Source organism: Homo sapiens, chromosome 6 (genome assembly GCF_000001405.40).
Source record: "Homo sapiens chromosome 6, GRCh38.p14 Primary Assembly".
In the NCBI taxonomy this organism is placed as follows: Eukaryota; Metazoa; Chordata; class Mammalia; order Primates; family Hominidae; genus Homo; species Homo sapiens.
Window position 1 is genome coordinate 132,127,237 of NC_000006.12, and position 23,473 is coordinate 132,150,709.

The following is a 23,473-nucleotide window of genomic DNA, read 5'->3' on the forward strand; positions in this document are numbered from 1 at the left end:
CCACAGAGTTACTTTCATTTAAAAAAACTAAGCTCTTCTCCAGACCATTTCCTCCAGTAACTCCATTTTGACTTTTGGAAGTCAAGCAGGTTGAGCTCTCATTCTCCTCTAATCCTCTCACACACTGTTCCAGCCAATAAATCTTGATTTCAGTTTGGGTTCTCCTCATTCACCATGGGAATGCAATTGGGTGAAAAAAAACCATTTCTGATGCCTTTTTACTTGGATTTTTTTTTTCTCTAAAGTGGGTCCTCATCCCAATTCAGTTCTCTCTCTTTCTCTCTTCTTTAGACAGGTTTCCATGTGCAAGGCTCCAGCCCAGACCAATGACACTGCTTATCTATGATTGTCAAAATGCCAGCTATCACCAGTGAAGAACTCCAGGTGGCACAAATACTATGACCTGTCTCCTAACAGATCTCAGGAGGTATTCCATAGACATCGGATATCTGTGTCTTATGTCTCCAGTTTAATTGTAAATCCCCAAAGGACAGAACTGAGCCTGCTTCTTTGGTTTTCAAACAAAATGTCACATCCAGTGACATTTTGAAAATAAAACTTTGGCTCATAAATTTTAGAGCCAAGCATAGGATGCTGACAAGGGCCCTACCCAGCCAATGGACAGCAGCTTGGTGACTTCTGATCTCATTTTTACTTAGAAAAATTTCTCTAAAATCAATTTAGAGAGTTATGATCAGCACTAAAAAATAAATAAAATATAAGCAAAGGGAAAATATCCCAGTGAATTACCCTTCATAAGGATGAGGATTGCTTTGGGAAATGTTTTAGTATATGTGCACTGTGTCATAACCAGCATTTTGAAAACCATTGTGCAGCAGTGTAAGGACTCCATAGATGCTTGGTTTGGGGTCATTTAAATTGTCAAAGGAAGAGTGGAGGTAAAGATTTGTAAAGGAGCCTCTCTGTAAAATCATGAGGGTCCTTTTGTGGCTCCTGATCTTTGATCCATCAGTCTCAGAATGAGGTGTAAGCAAGCCATTAGGTTGCTGCATGAGTCTGGTTGGGCACCTCCTTCCCTCATTTTGAACAGTGAGATTAAGCCACAAACTCTCTGAGGAGGTTCAAATGCTGATGTAAGTCTCAGAGTGAACACAACCTATAAACACTACTATAAGTTTCAATCATGTAAATGGGAAGTTAATTATGATTGTCATAAACTGCTAGGTTCAACAACCTTCAATTTATTTTTTTAAATGTTAATGGAGTGCTTCCCCTGTGCCAGGATTGTGTAGCCTGAAAATACAGAGTTGAATGAGGTACAGGTTACAACTTAGAAGAGCTTATGATCTAATACAGGAGTTGGCAAACTACAGCCTGTGGGCCAAATCTGGCCTACAATCTGTTTGCATAAATAAAGTTTTATTGGAATTCAGCCAGGCCCATTGGTGTATGGATTGTCTATGGTTGATTTTGCACAGTCACGCACAGTTGCAACAGAGACCATATGGTCCACAAAGCCTAAATATTTACTGCTTGAACCCTTACAAAAAAAGTTTGCCAATCTTATCTAATGTTGTTTAAAATACATTTTTTTCTGTGAGATTTTCATATGCAAAAGTGACAACTATATCAAGAGCAATGGAATATTTTCCTTACTTTCATGACTGAACAACATAGATCACTAGTCTGATGGAGCAGCTTTAAGAAGATTCAAGAAGTGGCTCCAAAGAAAAACACTGTGATATTAATGAAATATTTCATGTTTTTCTGCCTTACACATACATAATTACCCTGACTGGAGTATGGAGGTCTGACTGCAAAGTTCCAATATTATCACACAAAAAAATTATAGGGCTAGCTAAATCAGCTGAATATTAGATCAGAGATCACCAAGGAGCTACTCATTGGCTGAGTGTGGCCCGTTGCCATCATACACTTGTCCTCAAATCTTGACTCTAAAATTTTTGAGACAAAATATTTGAAATTAACTCAATTTCACGTTAAAATAGAGTTTCCCATTTCTCTTGAAAAATCACAATTGAACAGCAGTAGGCCTCCATTTCTGCTTGAAGGTGACCCACTGGAGAAGCAGTTTCCACATTAGGACCAATGGGGTGTCCATGCTCCAGATTACTCCTATTTCTACCATTCCCCAAAGTGTTCTTGACTCAACATTAAGCATTGCTGGCCATTTAAAACATGCATAGGTTGTTATTTTCCTCAGTAAAGAACTTTCTCAGTAAGCGTTCTCTTTTAAAAGTAGGATAAATAAAGATGAAACAAGAAGATTATGTTTAAAAAATGAATTTTCTGGCCAGGTGCGGTGGCTCATGCCTGTAATCTCAGCTCTTTGGGAAGCCAAGGCGGGTGGATCACGAGGTCAGGAGTTCGAGACCAGCCTGGCCAAGATGGTGAAACCCCGTCTCTACTAAAAAGACAAAAATTAACCGGGCGTAGTGGTGGACACCTGTAATCCCAGATACTCAGGAGGCTGAGGCAGAGAATTTCTTGAACCCAGGAGGCAGAGGTTGCAGTGAGCTGAGATCACACCACTGCACTCCAGCCTGGGTGACAGAGTGAGACTATGTTTCAAAAAAAAAAAAAGAATTTTCTTACATTCAGCAGGCCCTTGGTATCAGCAGGGTGGGGATAAGGGTGAGGTTTGAGGAAGGGATTGGTTCTAAGACACAGATTGTTCAAGTTCCTTGTATAAATGTAGTATTTGCATGTAAGGTACACGCATCCTCCCTATATTTTAAATCGCCTCTAGATTACTTATAATACCTAATACAATGTAAATGGCATGTAAATGGCTATCTTATTTTTTTAATTGTATTATTTTTTATTGTTGTATTATTGTTTTCAAAAATATTTTCAATGCAAGGTTAATTGAATCTGCTAGTGTGGAACTGCGGATATGGAGAACTGACTGTATTTAATATGCAAGCAAAGAGTATGCAATCTGCAGCTATTTTGCTCACTTATGTTCTTTCCTAGACCATGTAGATACGATAGTTTGAGATTAGTGTCTTAGACCCATAAAGAAAAGCATCTGGACAAATATTTGGATTTATTTTAGTGGTTGAAACACACGATTGAAGAAGCTTGGAGACCACAGTCTTGGTAACCCAGAGGGGATCTGGGAGCTCATCACATCCAAACCTTCATTTTAGCAATAAAGCATCTGAAGCTTCCCCCACATCCTAGGAGAAATGATCTGGTCAAAAGCACAGTGTGTCAGCAGCCAAGGCCAACTCTCTAATTCCCACTCCAGGGGTGTTGAGAAAATGAGACCAATAGAGTGATAAAGAATTCCCCTGAAATAGCTGGGCAACTTGTAGGAACCTGTCAAACTTCTTCCTCCAGCGTAGCACAAATTTTAATTGGTGGTACCTAGAACAGTTTCCATTTTTGTGAAAAATGGCATCTGATCAATTTCCTCACTTCCAGTAGAGGCCGCCTGCTGTGGCTGCATTTCTACTGGCCAGTTCTCATTGGCCAGCATCTGCCTTCTTTTCCTGTGGAAATAGAACTTACGGGCAGGAGAAAGGACATATTTGGTAATGTTACGCTCCTCAGCTTCCTGCTCCGGCTGTCTCAGCTGCAAAATGTCAAGGGAAAAAATATCCCTCCAACTTGGAAGGAATTCCAGACAGACCCTGATGCCTGCAAATTTGTCAGAGGGAGCCAAGTCCAGAAAAGCAGAACATGAAGAAGGTTCATTATTTGACTTCAAGAGACATTCAAATAATCAGACACTCTGGTATTTATGATTTTCCCCATTTCAGATGGTCTGTAGTTCACAACATTCCCCTCCCTTTACCGCTGATTCTGAGCTTCCTTTTACGTTAAACCTCAACAGTTATAAAAAGACTCTCACATTACTTGTAAGCCACAGGCACTACTAGGAGACACTGTGTTCACACAGGGCTGTTTAGGGCTGGGGAAGGGCAGCTCTTTTTGATTATTAGTCTGGGGAGGCCAGGCCAGGAAGTCAGGCTCACTTCACCCTGACCACGCCACCGGAGTCCTCATGTAGCTCCCAAGTCTGTGCCAACGCTTCCTGCCACTCACAGCACCAAATGCGATGATCTTTACTAAAAAGCACTTATTTCCGTTGGCTTTCTTATTCATTTAGGCTTTTCTTTTCCTGGGGGGCAGTGGCGGGTGGAATAGCCAGTTTATCCTGACTTCCACATTGTGAATATTCCACCAGGACTGTTTATAAAGTTGAGTTTGGGGGGATCTTCATCTTTCTCCTGGCATTCAATGCATTTTCTGTCTCCTTTAGAACTGTTGCCACATGCTGGCAAAAAGATAAGGAAACTGAATTTGTAATCCAAACCTCGTTAAATTGCTGCACACACATTTTCCCTTCTACTTCTTGCTGTCTGTTTCTAAATGCCATGCTATCTGTTTGTACTCAGTCACCTGAAATCCTTATTTGGGTTCTCCAACAGGCACGAAGGCATCCAAATATCAATTTTAGTAATGGGTGGAAATGCCCACATGAGGAGTGGGATGTTCAGTCTTAACATGTGGTCTCTATGAATAAGGGTCTTCATTTTTTCTTTTCCTAAACGGTCCAGCTCCTCTACGCTGGTTTTGCTCCTCAACAGTCCAAGGTTTGTGCTACTTCCATGGTGATCATCTGTTAGGTCATAAACATTAGATTGTGGCATCACTGAATGAGTCAGTTGGGAGGAAGCTGGGCTGGAAATACAGCTGAGAGCCTCTGTTGACAGATGGATGCCTTCTTAATCACAGCCTGTGTGGGTAAAGGGAAAGCCTTGCCTGGCCAACCCCTCCCACTCCCACCCCCACCTCCTGCATTGATTCACAAACCTGGACTGCTCTGGAGGAGGCTGGGAAAGTCCATCCCCAGGGAATACCACTTTTTTCCTCTTCTGTGCCTCTCACAGGACACCCACATGACTAGGAGGAGGCAGAAAGTGAATAGGGAGCTCTTATTACTTTTTGAGTGTCAGCAAGGTAAACCTGCTTTCATTTGCTTTTCCAAATCCTAAACGTTTCCCTCTTAAACTGTTGATATTGTTAGCATTGTTCGTTTCTCAGTGTGTGTCCATCTGCCTTGTCTGTAAAATGGGCATAATAAGAGCTCACCTTTCAGAAAGCAGTGGGTAGGGCTAGATGGTATAATTATGTTCCCTTTCATCAGTTTTCCCTATCTCTACTAAGCACCAGGTGCTATTGGAAAAATTACCTTTTTATCAGATTTTTAAAATACAGTTGCCTGAGCACATATTTAATTTTAGAAGAAATAGTTTAATAGTTCTAAATGTGGGGTTTCAGAGAGCCCTATGTCAAGAGCCGCTGTACACTAGGTTGCTAGGAGACTGGACAGCCAAAGAAACAATGCCCTTTCCTGTGACCACTATCAAGAACTGCTCAGGATTCCTGCCAGCCTGTTAGCCTTTATCGTTCAGTCATTTTAGACCTCAAAAAGAACATTCCATCAAGGGATCAGGTTCTATCATCTCACTGGAATGCAATGTAAGACCCCAGAAACTCTAGTACAAACAAATTTACTATGGCTCAGATTAATAATAGATAGCACTTGAATGTGTGCCCCAGTTGTGCTCCCTCTCTGCTAAGGATAGGACAAATGAAAATAAATTGCAAATTCAGCAGGGAGATTCAGACCAAACATAAGGAAGAACTTCTGCCATTAAGGACATAGAAGTTGTGAAGTTTGCCCCTTGGGAAGAGTTGTTTAGATTAGCCTGAAAGAGCGTATTTGAAGGATGAAGATGCAGCCCTCACTGGCAATGGAGGACAAGGTGATATGATTTCCTAGGTTTTCTTCAAGACCCAAGATTCTCCTAGTTGTGGAAAAGTGACTCTGTGCATTACTCACCACTATTAAGATTGTTATTCATGATCAGGCCTGAGTGAAAGCCCGGCTACTCTTACATAACAAAGGCAGATTCTCAGTGTTGGAAGATAACTGAGGAGCCATTCATTTCATCCCTCTTCTTTCACCAGTGAAAAATCGGAGACACAAAGCATTCATTGCCACATGGCCAGCAGAAGAGCTGGGCCTAGGACCAGGACCCCTCAGGCTCTCTGTGCTGTGTGCTGTACTACACCATATTTTCACTAATAATATAGGTCTATTTAAAACATAGCTTCATCTCTGGACCACTGCAGATTTTACATTCTAAAAATGCTTTTATAAGAATTCTGTTTATGACATGAGCAGCACTGAAGCAGAAATCTGAGGAACTCTGGGGATTGGTGTGGCTAAAGATCACAATTTACAAGAATAGTTTAGGCAAAGCACAAAAGAGGAAATGTTATTTATATGAGCTCATTTCTACTCACCAAAACATTTAAAAATTAAACTCAAGACCCAACAACTTTTTCCTTTTCTTAGCCCAACATGAGAGGCTTACACATGTACCCCTTTTCCCCAAACTTGTGAACTTGTCTGATATGTAGTCTCAAGTTTATAAGCTTCCCTTAGAAAAAGTTCTATTTCATTTCTACAAATCATACTTCTCTCATTTTATAATCCTTGAAATGGATAGTGCTGCCTCATCTTAGATGAGGCATTCAACAGTTTTAATTTCTAAGTTATAAATTATTATTTCTTCTTCTTTTTTAAACGTCTTAGAGACAAATCTGTCTATTTCACATAGGAAGCCAGTTGAGTTGTTCCTCACGCTTTCCCCACGAAGCTGCATCTGAAGGACTTCCTCACCCCCCCGCTGTGATCACAAGTTATGCCTCACAGATTCATTTCCTTATGAATGACTTCAGGAAGCCAGCATTTTTAATAAATAGGAAGTAAATTATATTTAATGACTAAATTCTCACCTAAAGTTGATACTAATATTACAATAACTCTCTTGTGCCCTATTTTGGTGTTTTAAACTTCTTTGCTGTACATTTAAGAAAATCAGAATTTCAGTAGACTCCTCGTGCAGTCTGAGGAGGCAGTTTCCTATCTGGTTTGACTTAAGGGGCTGCAGAAGACATTCTTATCCCACATATTTCTTCTGCTGATCAGTCAGCAACTGAAATTCCAACTAATGGATTCCATTCTTCCAGTTAAGACATCATCTCCAGAAAACTGTGCTAGTTGGCATCCAGCAGTGCCCAAGTATTATTTAACCCACTAGAACCTGTGACTGCATCAGCTTTATATCCTGGACCTCAGCCTGGAACAAAGGAGAGCTACACTTGGATACTAAACACAAGTGGTCTGGATAGATTATGCTGGGAAAAGAAGCCTGGAGCAGGCAGTACAGTGGGAGAACAAGGTAAGAATCAGGTAAAAGTTGCTATCACTGAATCACAGCTTTCTCTTTACTTGTTTTGGGGGACTGTATTTATATTACTTGTCTCTCAAGCATCCTTAATATATTTATTTACTTTCTCAAAAGTCTTTACTGTCATTAATCTATTTGGATTTTCAAACTGAGTCAGAAGCATACATTATGATATCATTAACTTGAGGATATGCTGGAACCAAAATGTCCTTCTAGAATAAATGTGTATTGGAGTAAGTAAAAAACTTAAGGGGAAAAACAGGAGAGCTACTACTCAACTTTTATGGTGGTTTACATGTGTTAGGTGAGGCAAAAAAGAGGTAGAACATAAAAGAAAAGGAAATTTAGGTCATTTTTTAGGCTAAGAAAAATCAAGTTGGGGGAATTCAAGGACTGGAAACACCAGTACAAAGCTAAAGATACACTTTAATTCCAGAGATGGTGTCTTAGAAAATATAGTAGTCATTATAGAGACAGGCTGTTGAGTGATGACAATGCTAGGGCCATAGGAATGTTCCTGAAGAAATCAACATCCTTTATCTTACTATCGTTGGAGAGGTAGACTCTGATTGTATGGCACTTTTTTTTGATACTACTAGAAAATTATGCAAGACATCTCACAGAACAGAATCAGACTTGCAGCCCATGATAAAACAGAAGACTGTCTGTAACATCAAAGAAATACAGAAGATTTTATGGCTTGCTGTTTGTTTACCTATAAGGGAAATGCCCGAATGCCTAAAGTATATATTACATGTAGTTTGGCTGCACTTGAGGAAAAACTTGGATTTCTAACTTTTATCAAACAAAGAACGCATTGTCCCTGGTCCATATTGATTGGTGAAACACAGAAATTTTCCATTTATTATTCACTTTATTATTGCATTTATTTATTTTTGCCTACCATTTCTTTTTAAATTTCATTACACCTGTTTTCATGCATGCAGTGAAATCACTCCTTATACTTGGGGGAAAATGACAAGAAACGACAGCCACGGAATCTTCCTCTGGATATGAGAACAAAAATAGCTGTCAGAATAAATAGTGGCCACACCCATGTCACTTCTTCATGAGGTGACTTGGTGACTTCACAAGATAGGCCCCACCCCACCCATATGAAATGAGCACCATCTGGGCTGACCTCCTCTTTCGGGGTCTGTAATTACTGTACAAAGATGCAGGTGCGTCTATGAAAGCGAACTTTGTCGAGATCTCAGTGACACACTCTGCTTTTCCAAATTGCCTCAATTGGCAGTGAATATTAGAAAGAGTCATGGAATGTCTCTGGAAAGATACATAGGAGAACTAGTGACATTGGATCCTTGTGGGTAGGGAGACACTGTGTAAGTGCATCAAAGAGGCTGACTTTTCACTGTGCACACTCCTTCAGACCACTGGAAATTCGGAATTGTATACGGTGTGCATGTATTACCTCCTTAAAACTAGCTAGCTACCTATCTACCTACCTACCTACCCACCCACCTACCTTCCTACCTGGCTAATTCATTAGCTAAGTAAATTAATAAGGTGTTAAAAAAAAAGAAAAGCCAAATAACTGGAAACACTGAGATCTTCCTCTGTTGCTATTTAGCTAACTGTTCAATTTAACTCTTAAATAAGTTATTTCCTCCGAGTTTTTTTTTCTTTTCTTCCACAGAAACTCTGCACCTAAGCAACACTGGTTTCCTTGTTCTTCCCCAAACATGCCAGGCACATCCCAGCCTCAGCTTCTTTGCAAAAACAATTTCCAATGCCTGGAAAAATCTTGTTTTTGTTATCTCCATGGCTCGCATTTTGCTTAGTTTAAGTCTTGACTCAAATATCACTTTCTCAATAAGGCCTACCTTGACTGTCCTATTTAAAATTGCAAACTTAACACCCCAGAATTCCTCATATCCATTTTATCTTTCATAGTAATGATCTTCTTCTTTTTTTTTTTTTTTTTGAGATGGAGTTTTGCTCTTGTCGCCCAGTCTGGAGTGCAATGGCATGATCTTGGTTCACCGCAATCTCTGCCCCCAGGTTCAAGGGATTCTCCTGCCTCAGCCACCTGAGTAGTTGGGATTACAGGCATGTGCCACCATGCCTGGGTAATTTTGTATTTTTAGGTGAGATGGGGTTTCTCCATGTTGGTCAGGCTGGTCTCAAACTCCTGACCTCAGGTGATCCACCCGCCTCGGCCTCCCAAAGTGCTGGGATTACAGGCAAGCCACTGCACCCAGCCATAATGATCTTCTTTTTAAAGTACTATATAAGCATCTTAGTACTTAACATCTTTATTGTCTATATCAAACTCTAAAACCAAGCTCCATGAAGGCAAGGATTTGTCTTCAAATCTTTTGCTCTCTGTTACTTCCCCCAGCATCTAAGTACTGCTTAGCACTTACAGCTTTTCAAGAAATAATTGCTGAGTAAATAAAAGAACTAATGAGTTTTGCTTTCTAAATTTTTTATTCTTGATTGAATATTATTAAATGATTTGAGACTGACACATCTAGTTTTTAATTTGATGATTATTGTTAAGTTTTACAAAAACAGACTTCAATGTATATTTTGAAAATGAATTCAAGAATAGCATTTTCTACAAATGGCCAAGAGACATATGAAAAGATGTTCAACATCACTAGTCATCAGAGAAATGCAAATGAAAACCACAATGAATCTCACACCCATTAGAATGGCTGTTATCCAAAAAGCAAAAGATAAAAAGTGTTGGCGAGGATCTGGAGAGAAGAGAACTCTTGTACACTGTTAGGGGGCATGTAAATGGGTGCAGCTGCTTCGGCCGCTATGCAAAACAGCATGGAGGCTCCTCAATAAATTAAAAATAGAACTATCATATGATTCAGCAATCCCACTTCTGTTATTGATCCAAAAGAATTGAAAGCAAGATCTCTAAAAGGTAATTGAACTCTCACGTTCACTGTGGCATTATTCACAATAGCCAAGACATGTAATCAATCTAAATGTCCATCGACTGATGAATGGATAAAGAAATGTGATATATATATACAATGGAATATTATTTAACCTTAGAAAAGAAGTAATACTGCCTTTGGTGACAACATGGATGAACCTGGAAGACATCATGCTAGTGAAACAAGCCAGGCACAGAAAGACAAATATTGTATGATTTAAGTTATATGTGGAATCTAAAATAGTCAAACTCATAGTAATAGAGAATAGAATGATGGTTACCGGGAGTTGGAGGGGGTGGTGAGAGAAATGGGAAGTTATTGCTCCAAGTGCACAAAGTTTCTGTTATATACAATGAACAAGCCCTGGAGATCTACTGTATAGTGTAGTGTCTATAGTTACAAGTACTGTATTATATACTTAAAAATTTGGTAAGAGGATAGATCTTATGTTAAGTGTTCTTATCACAAATAATAAAGAGGGTGAGAGAAAACTTTCGGAGACAATGGATAAGTTTATTGCATAGATTGTGGTGATGATTTCACAGATGTGTACTTATCTCCAAACTAAAGTTGTATACATTCAATATGTGCTGTTATTTTTTGTCAGTTATACCTTTAAAAAGTGGGGTTTTTAAGTGACCTTCTCTAGTTGTGAAGTACACCTTCTTCCACTTGACAACTTGTCTGCCAAGCCCATATCCTAATCTTTGTTAACAGATCCTTTACATCTAGATTATTGTTATTAAGATATCATTTTCTGTTGATCAATTTTTTACTTTGGAGGATATCTTTAAGATAATCATTCTCTTTTGAGCAAATGTATCATCATTGTTTGAATGTATCCCTGTTTACAAGCTTTCAACACTCATCACCTGAAACAGGTTTCATTTCATCAACTAGAGTAGTCAACTAGAGACTTCAAACAGGAGGAGACTTAAACATAGGGAATTAGGCACCAAAAAAGTCCATTTGAGGAGTGAGGGCCAGACAAAGCCACTGTAACCTTTGAGGAATTCAGGAAGTTGCAAGAATCATAAGAAACTACCCTATGACTCTTGATCTCAGCCACAGCTGTGGCACTGGGGCAGGTTTTCAGCAAATTTCCCAGAAGCTGCTGTAAAATCCCGTATCTGTTGTCTGTTCCATTCCCCACATTGCCCACTACTGCTAAAAAGGAAATGACAGCTTCTGCTTCTCCCCTTTCTGTAGAATTCATCTTTCCCAACGTGCTCTAAATTATAAACGAGCAAAGGATTTCCATTTTCAAACCCCACAGGTTCCTCCATGTACAGATTTCCATAAGCCTCAAACCTGAAAGAAATAGAAAGCAAATTGAATTCCTCCTCAAAAGTCTACCAGTTTGTTTTGGTGGTCACTGCTACTAAGTTCTACTGATGTGCACATTCTGTAGGTAAACCCCAGAGATGAGCACATCATGTTCATGTCTCTCTTCCTTGATGACCATGGCATGCTCATCCAGATTGTCTATTTCTACTCCCAACACAGTAAATATCATGGGAGGCAATCCTTAAGTTACAGAACATAATTCACATAATATTCCTGTACCATAGGTTAAGAAAATGAGCACATATTGTTCTTTTAATTTAATAATTGTCCCGTATTGGCCAGTCATGGTGGCTCATGCCTGTAATCTCAGCACTTTGGGAGCCCAAGGTGGGCAGATCACTTGAGCCCAGGAGTTCAAGACCAGCCTGGGCAACATGGCAAAACCCTGTCTACCCAAAAATCACACACGAAAAATTGCCAGGCATGGTGGTGCACGCCTGTGGTCCCAGCTACTCAGGAGGATGAAGTGGGAGGATTGCTTGGGCCTGGGAAGTCAAGACTGTAGTGAGCCATGATTGCACCACTGCACTCCAGTCTGGGTGACAGAGAGATCCTGTCTCAAAATAATAATAATAATAATAATAATAATAATAATAATCCATTATATTTCTTATAAGTCCCCTCTCTACCTCAGTTGCCTTGTCTATAAGAGGAGGATACAGTAATACTTATTTCATAAGATTATTGTGAGAATTACATGGAACTTCATCTGCCTATCTATCTACCTAGCTATGTATGTATGTATGTATGATGTATGTATGTATGTATGTATGTATCTATCTATCTATCTATCTATCTAGAGTTTGGAAGAGTGCCTGGACCATTGCAAATGCATAGTACAAGATAGCTACTATTATTACTATTGCCGTTGTCATCATAATCATCCCTCTTTTCTGTAAAAAGTAATGGGTTTATATGTCAGATAAATATGTTGAACTTAATTCTCTTTATGTGTCCCTGAACCTATCTAAGCCTTTTCCATGGTCTCTTCATGTGAAAAGTGTGGTTCTTCCCTGCTTAAATATGAACTTGGCCATGTGACATGTTTTGATCAATAGCATATGAGCAGAAGTGACAATATGCCAGTTCTAAGCCTAGGCCTTAAAAGCTCTGTAAGTGTATTTCCACTTGCACCTTTGCATTTGTGTCACTGACATGAGAAGATTCCTTTTAGGTCGCTCCTGCCCCTTCAGCCTGAGCCCCAGAATGAATACACATAGGCTAGAGATGCATTGGTCAATTCACAGAATCACAGTGAGAAAAAAAAGCCACCAGCCAAGTCCAACCTAGATCATCTGAACCCCATCCTTCCCACATAGGTGTAAGCAATAAGTAATTGCTGTTTAAAGCCCCCTGTGCTTTGGGGTGGTTTGTTATGCAGCAGTGGTGAACTAATACACTTAATTTCAGATGCATCTACCAGTGACTGAGTCAAATGATGACACCTGCTCTTCAGCCAAGTCATATTGCATGTTTTGCCCAAATGCTGGCCATGACTCTTTGTGAACATTGCACAGAGTAGTGCTGCAAGAACTTGAGTGGGTTTGGGGAGAGGCAAGGATCGGTGCCAGTTTCTGCCTTCTGTGTTTTTGCCGCCTTCAACAGTCTGCCAGCTGGTGCAGCTGCACCTTTTGGACAAATGATATGCTATCCTGGGCATTAGCCTAAATGGTACCACACATGCAAAGAGCCACAGCTGCTATTTGTTGTGCTTCTTGCTATTCTTGGCTCTGTTGCATTGCCTAAGGGTGGCATAGATTTCTACACATGAAGCGTGGCTTTCCAAGATTCACAGATAGAACTTTGATCAATACAGCTACTAATGATGATGACTGTGCATGGGAAAATAGGGTAGAATCATTTCTAAATAGCCTAAGATTGTTTTGGAGTAAGAAGAATGTAAATTAATTAATCCTATAAACATGCATGCTATAGCATTGTATGGTTTGTCCTTCCAGGAAAAAGCTAAAACCTCACCTATATTGTTAATATATATATATTTTTTACATTATTTAAATGAGTGAATTTTTGCTTCCTTTGTTGGTTTTGCATAAAGATATTCATATTAGCATAATGTAGATAAATCTCATGAGTTAATTATTCACTAAATCAAATTTAAAATTAGTTTCCATTTCTAAGTCAAAGGTTGAGTTGTTCCACATGTGTTGTGTGGAATAATTGAAAATCATTATTAATTAGTACATGCTGCTGGTGACTGAGATCCCTCTCAAAAATTTCTGAGCTTGGTTTGAAACCTAAAAATAAGAAAATAAGAATAAACATAAGTTCAATCTACAATCCATAGAAACGACATTGTATTTCTAGTCCTTTTAAAACTTAACCAAAAGTCTTTATTGATTCACCACATTTGCCAGTACAATGCAGATGGGAAAATGAATAAAGGAAGAAAAAAATTTTATATATGGCCCAGCTACAGGGCCATACTTTAAGAGAATGGAACATAACCCTGCTTCAGAGCACTTTTAATGAAAATACAGACAAATAAATATATAGTGTAGTTGTTCTCGACCCTGGTTGCAAATTAAGTACATGGAGAGCTTTCCAAAATTATAGATGCTGAGCTCTACCCAAGATTTCTAATTTAGTTGGTCCTGTGTGGGACCAAGGAATTGGTACTTTATGGAAGCTCCCAAGGGATTCCAATGTGTGGAGTTAGATACAGTAGTATTAAGATATTTTGAAGTCATCATAATTCCAAGAGGATGCTAACATGGTTACAATGACTACTTTCAGATTTCTTCAGAGGGGGTTCATAGAGGAATTGACTTAAAAGTAGAGCCTTAAAGGAAAGAAGCTACATCATGGAATGACGTGGAAAAGTATTTTTCTTTTTAAATCAGTTACATAATTTGGGTTTTCTCAAGTTTTGCCATTTTAATCAGCAGAACTTAGATTAATTAATTTGTGAGATGCTTATCTTTGCCTATTAATTTCCTCTATTGATATTTTTACTTGCTATCAATTGCGATTGCTTTTTCATATCTGTCTTCTTTTGTAAAGTGATGACTTTAGTCAGAAGTGTGCTGGAGCAGTTTGCAGAGCCTTGCAAAATTGATGGTGCCTATCTATTTCCAGCTCTATGTTCATCAATGCCAGATCGGCAGACTGAAATCAGCCGTGATAAAAATGTTTACACTATGGAAATTGGCAAATACTAAAAATCATCAGATACTCTCTCACCCCAGACATGATCAATCATTCAATAGTACACAACTGATTTCAGTGGAAGAGAGTTATGGTACATAAATGATTTTTAGTTCTTCATGTTAGATGTCTTAAAATTATAAGTCTCAACTTTCAAGTACCTATTAATCTCAAAAAAATTAAACCTATATTTTACAAGAAAGCCTCTTCTGTATTTTTTATTATATTTCCTTTTGAATCCCCCGCCCCATTTCACTCTTACCACCTAAAACAGAAACTCCCACATCTTCTATGCTCAGAGGAGATTTACTTGTGTTAGCTTAAGAATCATTTCATGTTTTCTCATGCCTGCCTTCATACCACCCCATACCACAGTTTTCAGGTTTTAATTTAAGCTCCACAGCAGCCCTTTTCTGTTCGATGAGAAAAGATAACCAAGAAAATAAATTAGGAGTCTTATGATTGACCCTAGTTTTTTTGTTATTCAAGGAAACCCAAAATGAAGCAAAATAACAAAAAATTGCCAAGGAAAACATTTTCAGCCATTTCAATTACTGTTTTAATTGGCTGGGTCTGGCTTCCAGATTATCCTGTAATCTCTACAAGAATGTTATTTGGAAAAAGCTGAAATATGCCCTGCATGGAAGCCACATCCATCCCTTCAGCACATTCTAGTTGGAATAACCTTCTCTCAGAATACTGGAATCATATTGGAGTAAAATTGGAAGTTCCTGGAAAAATTTAATCCATAGATTATATAAAAGCTGAATTCACTATCAGCATATTATTGAATGTACACTAAAAAATGTAGTGTGCCTGAATCCAAGATAAAGAAAAGTAATGATATTGTGATGTTTGTATAACAAATACCTTTAGACAATGTGCAGGCTTGTGCATGCCCACTTGTATGTGCCCATTTATGTGTGCACAACTGGGCATGTGCTTTGACTGTGTGTGTCTGTGTGTGTATTAAATAACAGGACAATAGAATGAAGAGAATGTTTGAAATTATTTGAATGGTTTCATAAAAACTTCTTGGGATGTGGAATGTGTTTTACTAAGATTACACCAAGAAATGGCACTGGCTGCTTATCAGACTTGTGGGTTCAAAGAAAGGAAATCTTTTTTGTTTGTTTTAATTAAATGGGTCCTGAAAACATTGGTATTAAAAATAGATGATTACACCCTCAGATTGCCATTTTGATGTGTTCTCATACAAGTGGGATGAAGAGCTACTGTGCACATTAGTTTAAAAAGACTATTTGTAGTCAGGTTCTATACATGGACTCTAGAAAATGCACAAAAAATATATATGTGACTCTGGCAACCAGTTGGTTTTTTTACCCTAGACTGGTCTCCTTTTTGAATTTGGATTGTTTGGCACAATATTGAAATTATGAATTTTAAACTGACATCAAATCCTGCTGCATCTGTTTCTTATGTTGGGACAGGACCACTGTGAAGGAGCACACCGTTAAATATCCATGAGAATGTGTCCCAAGGCTGAGCTCTACAGCACACATCATCTGCCCTCTAGAGCCCCAGCTTTGCAGAGGTTGAGCCCTAGAACAGCAGCAGCAGCACTCTCTGAGAGCCTGCTAAAAAGGCAGAATCTCAGGCCCCATTCAGACCACCTGGATCAAAATCTGCAATGTAACAAAATCTCCTGATATGATAATATTGGAGAAGCACAGGCCTAAATTATTTTGACTATTTGTTTAGAAGTGAAAGCAAATACGTGTATCTACTCAGTGTCAATATCAAGAATCTTATAGAAACTATAGTATTTGCTGGAGTATTTATCATTAGCTTTAAGTATAAGATACTCTGTGGTGTTTCAGCAATTAGTAAAAACACCATCCACCCATTTTTTCAAAAGTTGTATTGCCAAGATTATTAAACCTGTTGTATGCACTAAAAGATTGCAACGACTATGTGGTTGTAGTCAGAAGTTGTGTTGTGGCTGCTCAGAGTAATTACTTCTCTGAGAATTTATTCTGTGGTGTCACAAAGCGGTGTGGAAAAGTTTGTTAATACTTACCACGGTTCAATCACTGGAACTGGTTCCAGTGCGCATATATACTCTGATCAGCTTTTACACAGGAGTCTGTGGCAGAGAAAAAAGTAGCTAGCAAGGTCCAGTCTGCATGACTTAAACCATAATGGTGCTAATTCACTAAAAATTCACAAATCTGATTAATCTTTAGATCTGAAGTTACTGAAAGAGAGGATGGGGATAGAAGGAGAGAGAGAAAGAAAGAAAGTGAGTTGGGGGGGAGAGAGAGAGAGAAATTGGGGGAGGAAGAGAGAGGGAGAGAAAGAAGAAAAATCCACTACCTAAGAATGATAATGATGATGATGATATGAAGATGAACGTGATTTCAAAACCCTCCCCTGTTTCCAATTCTTCAAACAGTTGTTCCTACTTATTGGACTTCATTACAGCCAATTGCAGTCTGAATAGAAATAAACACAAAACTATATACCAAAACTATTCTGAGTGTCTGAAAAAAATGAGACTGATCAGTTAAATCAAGAATTCTCAAAGTCTGAGAGTTCTGTAATCCTTCTGTTTCCATATTAAAACACTTTCCTCCTAAGATCCATGACACAAGGAAAGCTACAGCCAAATGCAAATCTTCATTCCTACATAGTGCTCTCCTGAGTCCTTGCCTTCTTCCTTATCTTGGTGAACCTTCAGAACACCCTGGAAGGAAATGGAAACCACCATGTTATCTCCCAGTTCTTCTCACTTCCTCCCCAAAAAGATCAGCCTGGAGTCAGTTCCCAACTTTCTCACTTCTGGTTCCTCTGAGCTCTCCAGACCCAAGGAGTTCTTCTTAAACAATTTGCCAACACCCAACTCCATCCTCAAAGAGAGGAAGACCCTCCAAAAGGCCCAGGAACCTGAGCAATGCAGCAGTTAGAACACAGGGCTCCAGCAACAGAGAGATCAGGGTTTGTGTCCCAGCTTAGTAGCTTGGTGGCTTTGGACAAGAATGTTCTTCTAAGTTTTTTTCCTCTATTAAAAAACCCCATCTATTTCAGAAAATCTTGTGAATACTAAACGAAAGATCGTACAGTTCAAGTTCTTAGGAAATGTGTATAATAAATGGTAACTCCTCTTTTTCCCACACTACCTCCAAGTTTCTTTTCTCTCTCCCCTTTCTCTCCTTCAGTCTTTTCCTTCTCTCTCTTTACCTACACTAATTTCCCTCTTCTACCATCACCACTGTTTATGCTCAAGCCCAAAATGCCCACAAGCAAAATATCACAAGCCAAAATAATGTTTCAACAAAAAAGAGTCACAGATCCCCAAAGATCATGTGTCCACAGGGACCATCAGCTATTTCTTACATTTCTGGTTAATGATCCGTTTACTTCTATAAACTATAGTTTTCTCAATTTCCCATGAGCATTTGTGATGCTCAGGCTTAATAGGATCTGGCTGAATGAACACCACACAGAGTGAATACTTCAACTTCCCTCAATCTTTGCAGTTTCCAATGAAATTGTATGGCATTATCAGACTTGAGTGTAATTCTGTTATCTCTCCTGTATCTCTTGACTTCTTCATCCCACACAGAGACTTCCCTGTAAAGATTGAGTGGAGTGTGGAATGAGACTGAGACATTCACAACAATGCCTGAACCTCTTAGCAACCAGAATTCCAATCGCAAACTGAACATGACAATCCTTTAAAAGTCCACATGCTTTTTCGCACGTTGTTGTCCCCTTTTAGAGTAGCGCTTTTCAACTTCCTGTCCTGGCATCGAGTTGTTTAAATCAATGACCATAAAGTGTATTGGTTCTAATAATTCTTAGAGTACTGAGTTGTGAATGAGTTAGTTTTTATAATATCAATTAAAATGATTTAAAGTTTATTCTAGTGGTAGTATTTCTCTCAGTGCTGTGGTCTGAATGTGTCCTTCCAAAATTCATATGCTAAAATCTAACCTCCAAGGTGAGTGTCGTAAAAGGTGGGACCTTTGGAATGTGATTAGGTTATGAGGGCAGAGCTCTCATGGGTGAGAATATTGTTGCCATTATAAAAGAGGCCTGGGGGAGCTTGTTCACCTTTCCCACAATGTAAAGATGCAGTTAGAGAGTGCATCTTTGAAACAGAGAGGAAGCCCTCATCAGACACTGAATCTGTGGTGCGTTGATCATGGACTTCCCAGCCTCCAAAACTGTGAGCAGTAAATTCTCTTGTGTATAAATTACCCAGTCTAAGGTATTTTGTTATAGCAGCACAAATGGACTAAGACTGTCGCTTGCATTCTCTTGTGCTTTGCAGGAGAGAATGGAGTTGCAGCAGACTGCTCAGGAATTGTACATCACCAGTAGCTTCTGTCTCAGCTAAGTGTGGGAGACTGATACTGATGAGCCATTAACAATGGTGGAGATTCTGAATCACTGAAGCACTTGATAAAAGAAATGTCGTGGGTGATGTGAAAATCTACATATGCCCATGAGAGTATATTGAGTTTGTAAGTGTTGTTGCTTAGTGTGTCACAGAGAAGTTTATAAGAAACTATTTTGGAGTAAGAAACAACACAGAAGAACACAGTTTCAGCCTGAAATGGCTTATTTAGCCACTGACCATCAGAAACAATTACTTTTTACCTTAACCTAGATTTGTAATAGCAGGATGCATTGAATTCCTTCATTGAAGTGAAACCTTAGCAAATCTTTAAGTAGTACTCTAAAGTGACAAAAGGTGTTTACATTTACTAATGTAAATTTCTTGTGGAGATAAAGTTTTTATTCTTCTTGGGTCTCAAGACTGCTCAAGAAGGAACCATCGTTTGTTCTACACTGCTCTGTTCTAAATGTTTGTTCCCCCAATATTCATATGTTGAAATTCTAACCCCCAAGGAGATAGTATTAGGAGGTGGGGCCTTCGGGACATGATAAGGTCATGAGGATGAAGCCCTCAAGAATAAGATTCATTGCCTTATAAAGAAAAACCAGAAAGATCCCTCATTTCTTCAATCATAAGAAGACACATGAGCAAGAAGACGGCCAGCTATGAAGCAGGTCGTGGGCCCTCGCCAGACACTGAATCTGCCAACACTTTGATCTTGGATTTCCTAGCCTGCAGAACTGTGAGAAATAAATTTCTTTTCTTTATAATCCACTCAGTCTAAGGTACTTTGTTCTAGCAGCCTGAATGTACTGCGACATAACACTCCCTTGCTGTTTTATTGTTGAGAAAGGAGGAAGGGTAGGTCTTTTATTGTTGAATAAGGTGGGGAGGAGAGGACTTTTGGGGTGAGCACCGTGTGCTTATTGCTGCTTGGAGTGGACTCTTTCTCACCCTATATTTATGTGTTAAATGGAGTAGGATGTGATTGGGCATGTGGTTTTCAGCTACATTAAAGTAGCTTCTTTGGGCTGTGTGAGAGACACTAAATACCATTTCATAAACACTGAAAAAGAAGTCTCTCTTTAGATAAACATTCAGCAGAGCAAGGATTTTGGAGATGCTAATTAATACCTTACATTTATATAGAGCATATCCATTTTATACTTTGAAAAATACGATTTTATATAACCTGACATGGCAGCCAAGATGCAGAAAGCAAACTAAGAGTCACATTCAGTAAGAGTAGTATTCTTACAGCAGGAAATAATTATGGTCAGCAATGTGGGAGGAGAGTCATCCCAAAGTTAGCTGACTAGAGTGGATTAAGTTCACATCTGGCTAATGAGACTATCCAAAAACGAGTCTGGGAATGCATGGAAGCATTCGACAGTGCTGTCATTTTGGTTCTGTCCTTGTGAGCCTCAGCTGGCAGTGTTTCATTGGTGCATTCATTATGACATCATTTTATGGCTGAGCAATTTGCAGGCCAAAAAGACCTGAGACTCCCTGGGGTGAAGGGAAATGCCACAGACATCCATGGTCTTGGATGCTCAGTGAGTAAACTGGGATTTTTAAGCAGTTCCTAGGGCCTGAGAAATAGTTGGTCAGAACCCAGGCCTACACCCTTTTGCCTGAGCTGTTTCAGGGAGGAGTTGGATACATCTACACATCCCATACTGGCCCCACATGTCCCTAATACATAACAGCAAAGAAGACTAATATGGCAGGAGATGTTGCCATATTGAACTGAACTCTTTAATGGAATATGCTGATGTGAGGAGCCTGAAGATTAAGACCCTTTTGCCTTGTTTCACTGATGCCAATTAACACTGTGTCATAATGTTGGCATGCATGAGACACAAGCAATTTTACTCTAGGAAGAGAAAGAAATTCAAGAATTTTTTTCCTGTATATATAAGCCTTCATATATTGCACTATTTTAAGTATTATATGGAAAGATGCCCTTCAGGTCTCTTTCTTCACACACACACACACACACACACACACACACAATCACCCATCCTGGACATCCTATCTACTTTCCTGTATTGACCTCTCATAACTCTCAGAATTTTGCATGTTATCTAAAATAGGCTTACTTCTGTCCATCATACCTTTATTCCACATTTCCACCACTGTCCCAGCCTATTATCACCACACTCATCTTCAAGACAACTGCAAAGACGTGAAAAGCCTCCTTCAAGACAATTGAAAAGTTGGATATTTCATATCCAACTAGAAAATGACTTTGTCTCCTAGCTTCTAGAAACTTGCTTTTGCCTCTCTCATTCTACATTCCATTCCATCTTGTGTTATCATTTGAGTACATATGCAAAGATATGGGGTACACACTTAAATGTATGTTAAAATTTGGAAGTGATTTATTAGCTGTTATCATAGGCAGCTTTGCTTGTGAAAGACAAAGCTGATCTGTATTTTTTATTTCAATTAACTTGGCTTGTCTTTGTGTGACTGAACACAGCTAATCAAAGTATTATATGCATATATGTAGAGCCAGGTAATATAAAGACCATGTAGAGAAACTACTGTATTTGCAAATTGATCATACTACTATAATCCCTTGCTTTGGCTATAATATCCATGGACGTCAAAGTCAGAGATATGATTTGCTAGAGGGCTCATGAGAATAATGCTCTTTTGTCTATTGGAATTATTCTAACTAAATCTAATCAGTTTTTGGGGGTGGTTACATGATGTCAAGTTAGATATTAGCTGAACATAAATAAATGAATGGTATTCTTTACTTATATACATATCATTAGTTCTATATCAACATGTTTAATTTATCAAACATAAGCAGAAACTGTGGTTCTTTTGGCAGCTATTAATTTGCCTGTCTGCTTCTTCACAAGATGTATATTATTATCTTATGACTCTGTCCCACATAAATAATGTGAACATTACTTATTCCTAATAAGAAGTACTCAGTTTTAAGATACTGCACACTCTTTCAAGTATTAGCTTACTGTTATATTTGTAAAATATAAATAAACCTACAGTAATGTTATAAAAAAGATGACTATTTTCAAAAGCAAACCAAGAAATCCAAGTTTTAGCAAGGTGCTCATTCTCATGTTGAATCTAAAATTTCTGTTACAAATTACAGTCTGATTTAATGCCTGCTTTAAGAAAAAATATTGTACCAAACTAAGGTTGCTTTAAACAATATGTGTAAAGTTTAGTGTCTCTTGTAGGATGACTGCAATACAATATTTATTTTAAAAGACCATGAAAATGAGACAAAAAGCAGTTAATACTTACAGTGCCAGTCAAAGCCATTTTTATGTTATTATAAATTGCCAGACATATTTTATCATTTAAAAAGTGTACATGTTTTAGTGACAAGTAATGTAGCATCTTAAAAGAACATGGCCTTTGGCTTTAGACAGACTCAGATTCAAATTACAGTGTTGTCATTTAATAGGTTTGTGCCATTGGGTGACAAAACTTCAACCTAACCTCAGATTCTTCCTCTGTGGAAAGGGACTAATGATAATTTTTTAAAAAGCTATAGTGACATGTTCAATGAAGCACTATTCATAATAGCAAAACTAGAATACAACCTCAGTGTCCAATTCCAGTTGTATTCATCAGTTACTGTCACATCAATACATGTAAAAAACCATCTCCAGGCCAGGCATGGTGGCTCACACCTGTAATCTCAGCAGTTTGGGAGGCCAAGGCATGTGGATCACGAGGTCAGGAGATCGAGACCATCCTGGCCAACATGGTGAAACCTCGTTTCTACTGTAAATACAAAAATTAGCTGGGTGTAGTGGCGCGTGCCTGTAGTTCTGCTGAGGCAGGATAATCCGTTGAAGCTGGGAGGCGAAGGTTGCAGTGAGACGAGATCGCACCACTGCATTCCAGCCTGGGCAACAGAGTGAGACTCCATCTCATAAAACAAACAAAAAAACCCATCTCCAAACACCATGGTTTGCTACAGCAAGCATTTATTCCAATGCTCGTGGGTCTGCAAATCAACAAAGATTAGCCTACCTCAACGAGGCACAAATGGGCAGCTCTGCAGTGGTGGGGCTTGGCACCAAGGCCCAATTTGGGTTCAGGTTTGTTCCATGTATGCTTATTTGGGGACCCAAGCTTAAAGGACGGCAACTACCTATGGTGAATCATCAAAGCACCAGAGACAAACTAATTGGGGTAAGCACAATTAAGATCTCTGCACAAAATCCATTAACTTCCATTGGTCAAATTAAGTTCCATGGCCAAGCTCAGTATAAACAGAAAGTCTTCTATAGTCAGAAGGGAGGAAAGGAAATATGTGCTGCACAATTATCCAAATACCACAATGGCTAAGTAGTAACTGATTTAATGATTAAGCAGCATTCATATGACAAAAGGCTACTTATCCATTAAAAATGTAATTAGAAAAAAAT

The 23,473-nt window shown here is 38.8% G+C and overlaps 1 long non-coding RNA gene across 10 annotated transcripts in view, besides 3 other annotated features; it reads left to right on the forward strand.

Moving 5' to 3' along the window:
• Window positions 4,701–5,900: an enhancer, noted in NCBI's record as "BRD4-independent group 4 enhancer chr6:132453077-132454276 (GRCh37/hg19 assembly coordinates)". NCBI's record gives its function as "activates an origin of replication core promoter dependent on BRD2, P300/CBP, MED14 and CDK7 cofactors, and independent of BRD4, by STARR-seq in HCT116 cells {active_cell/tissue: HCT116}" and the evidence as "EXISTENCE:reporter gene assay evidence [ECO:0000049][PMID:35650434]".
• Window positions 4,701–6,170: a biological region, named in NCBI's record as "BRD4-independent group 4 enhancer GRCh37_chr6:132453077-132454276".
• Window positions 5,336–23,473, forward strand: part of LINC01013 (long intergenic non-protein coding RNA 1013) — a 36,803-nt gene continuing 18,665 nt past the window's right edge. For 4 of the 10 annotated variants that reach the window (NR_038981.2, NR_187597.1, NR_187599.1 and 1 more), the window contains exon 1: window positions 6,789–7,247. This is a non-coding gene — a long non-coding RNA (long intergenic non-protein coding RNA 1013). Of the gene's footprint in view, window positions 5,476–6,788; window positions 7,248–9,204; window positions 10,666–18,983; window positions 19,827–23,473 lie in introns of those variants that run through there. The other 6 variants (NR_187602.1, NR_187604.1, NR_187603.1 and 3 more) reach the window with 6 other exon arrangements.
• Window positions 5,669–6,170: an enhancer, noted in NCBI's record as "NANOG hESC enhancer chr6:132454045-132454546 (GRCh37/hg19 assembly coordinates)". NCBI's record gives its function as "activates a minimal SCP1, AML or CMV promoter by ChIP-STARR-seq in naive H9 embryonic stem cells {active_cell/tissue: H9 hESC(naive)}" and the evidence as "EXISTENCE:reporter gene assay evidence [ECO:0000049][PMID:30033119]".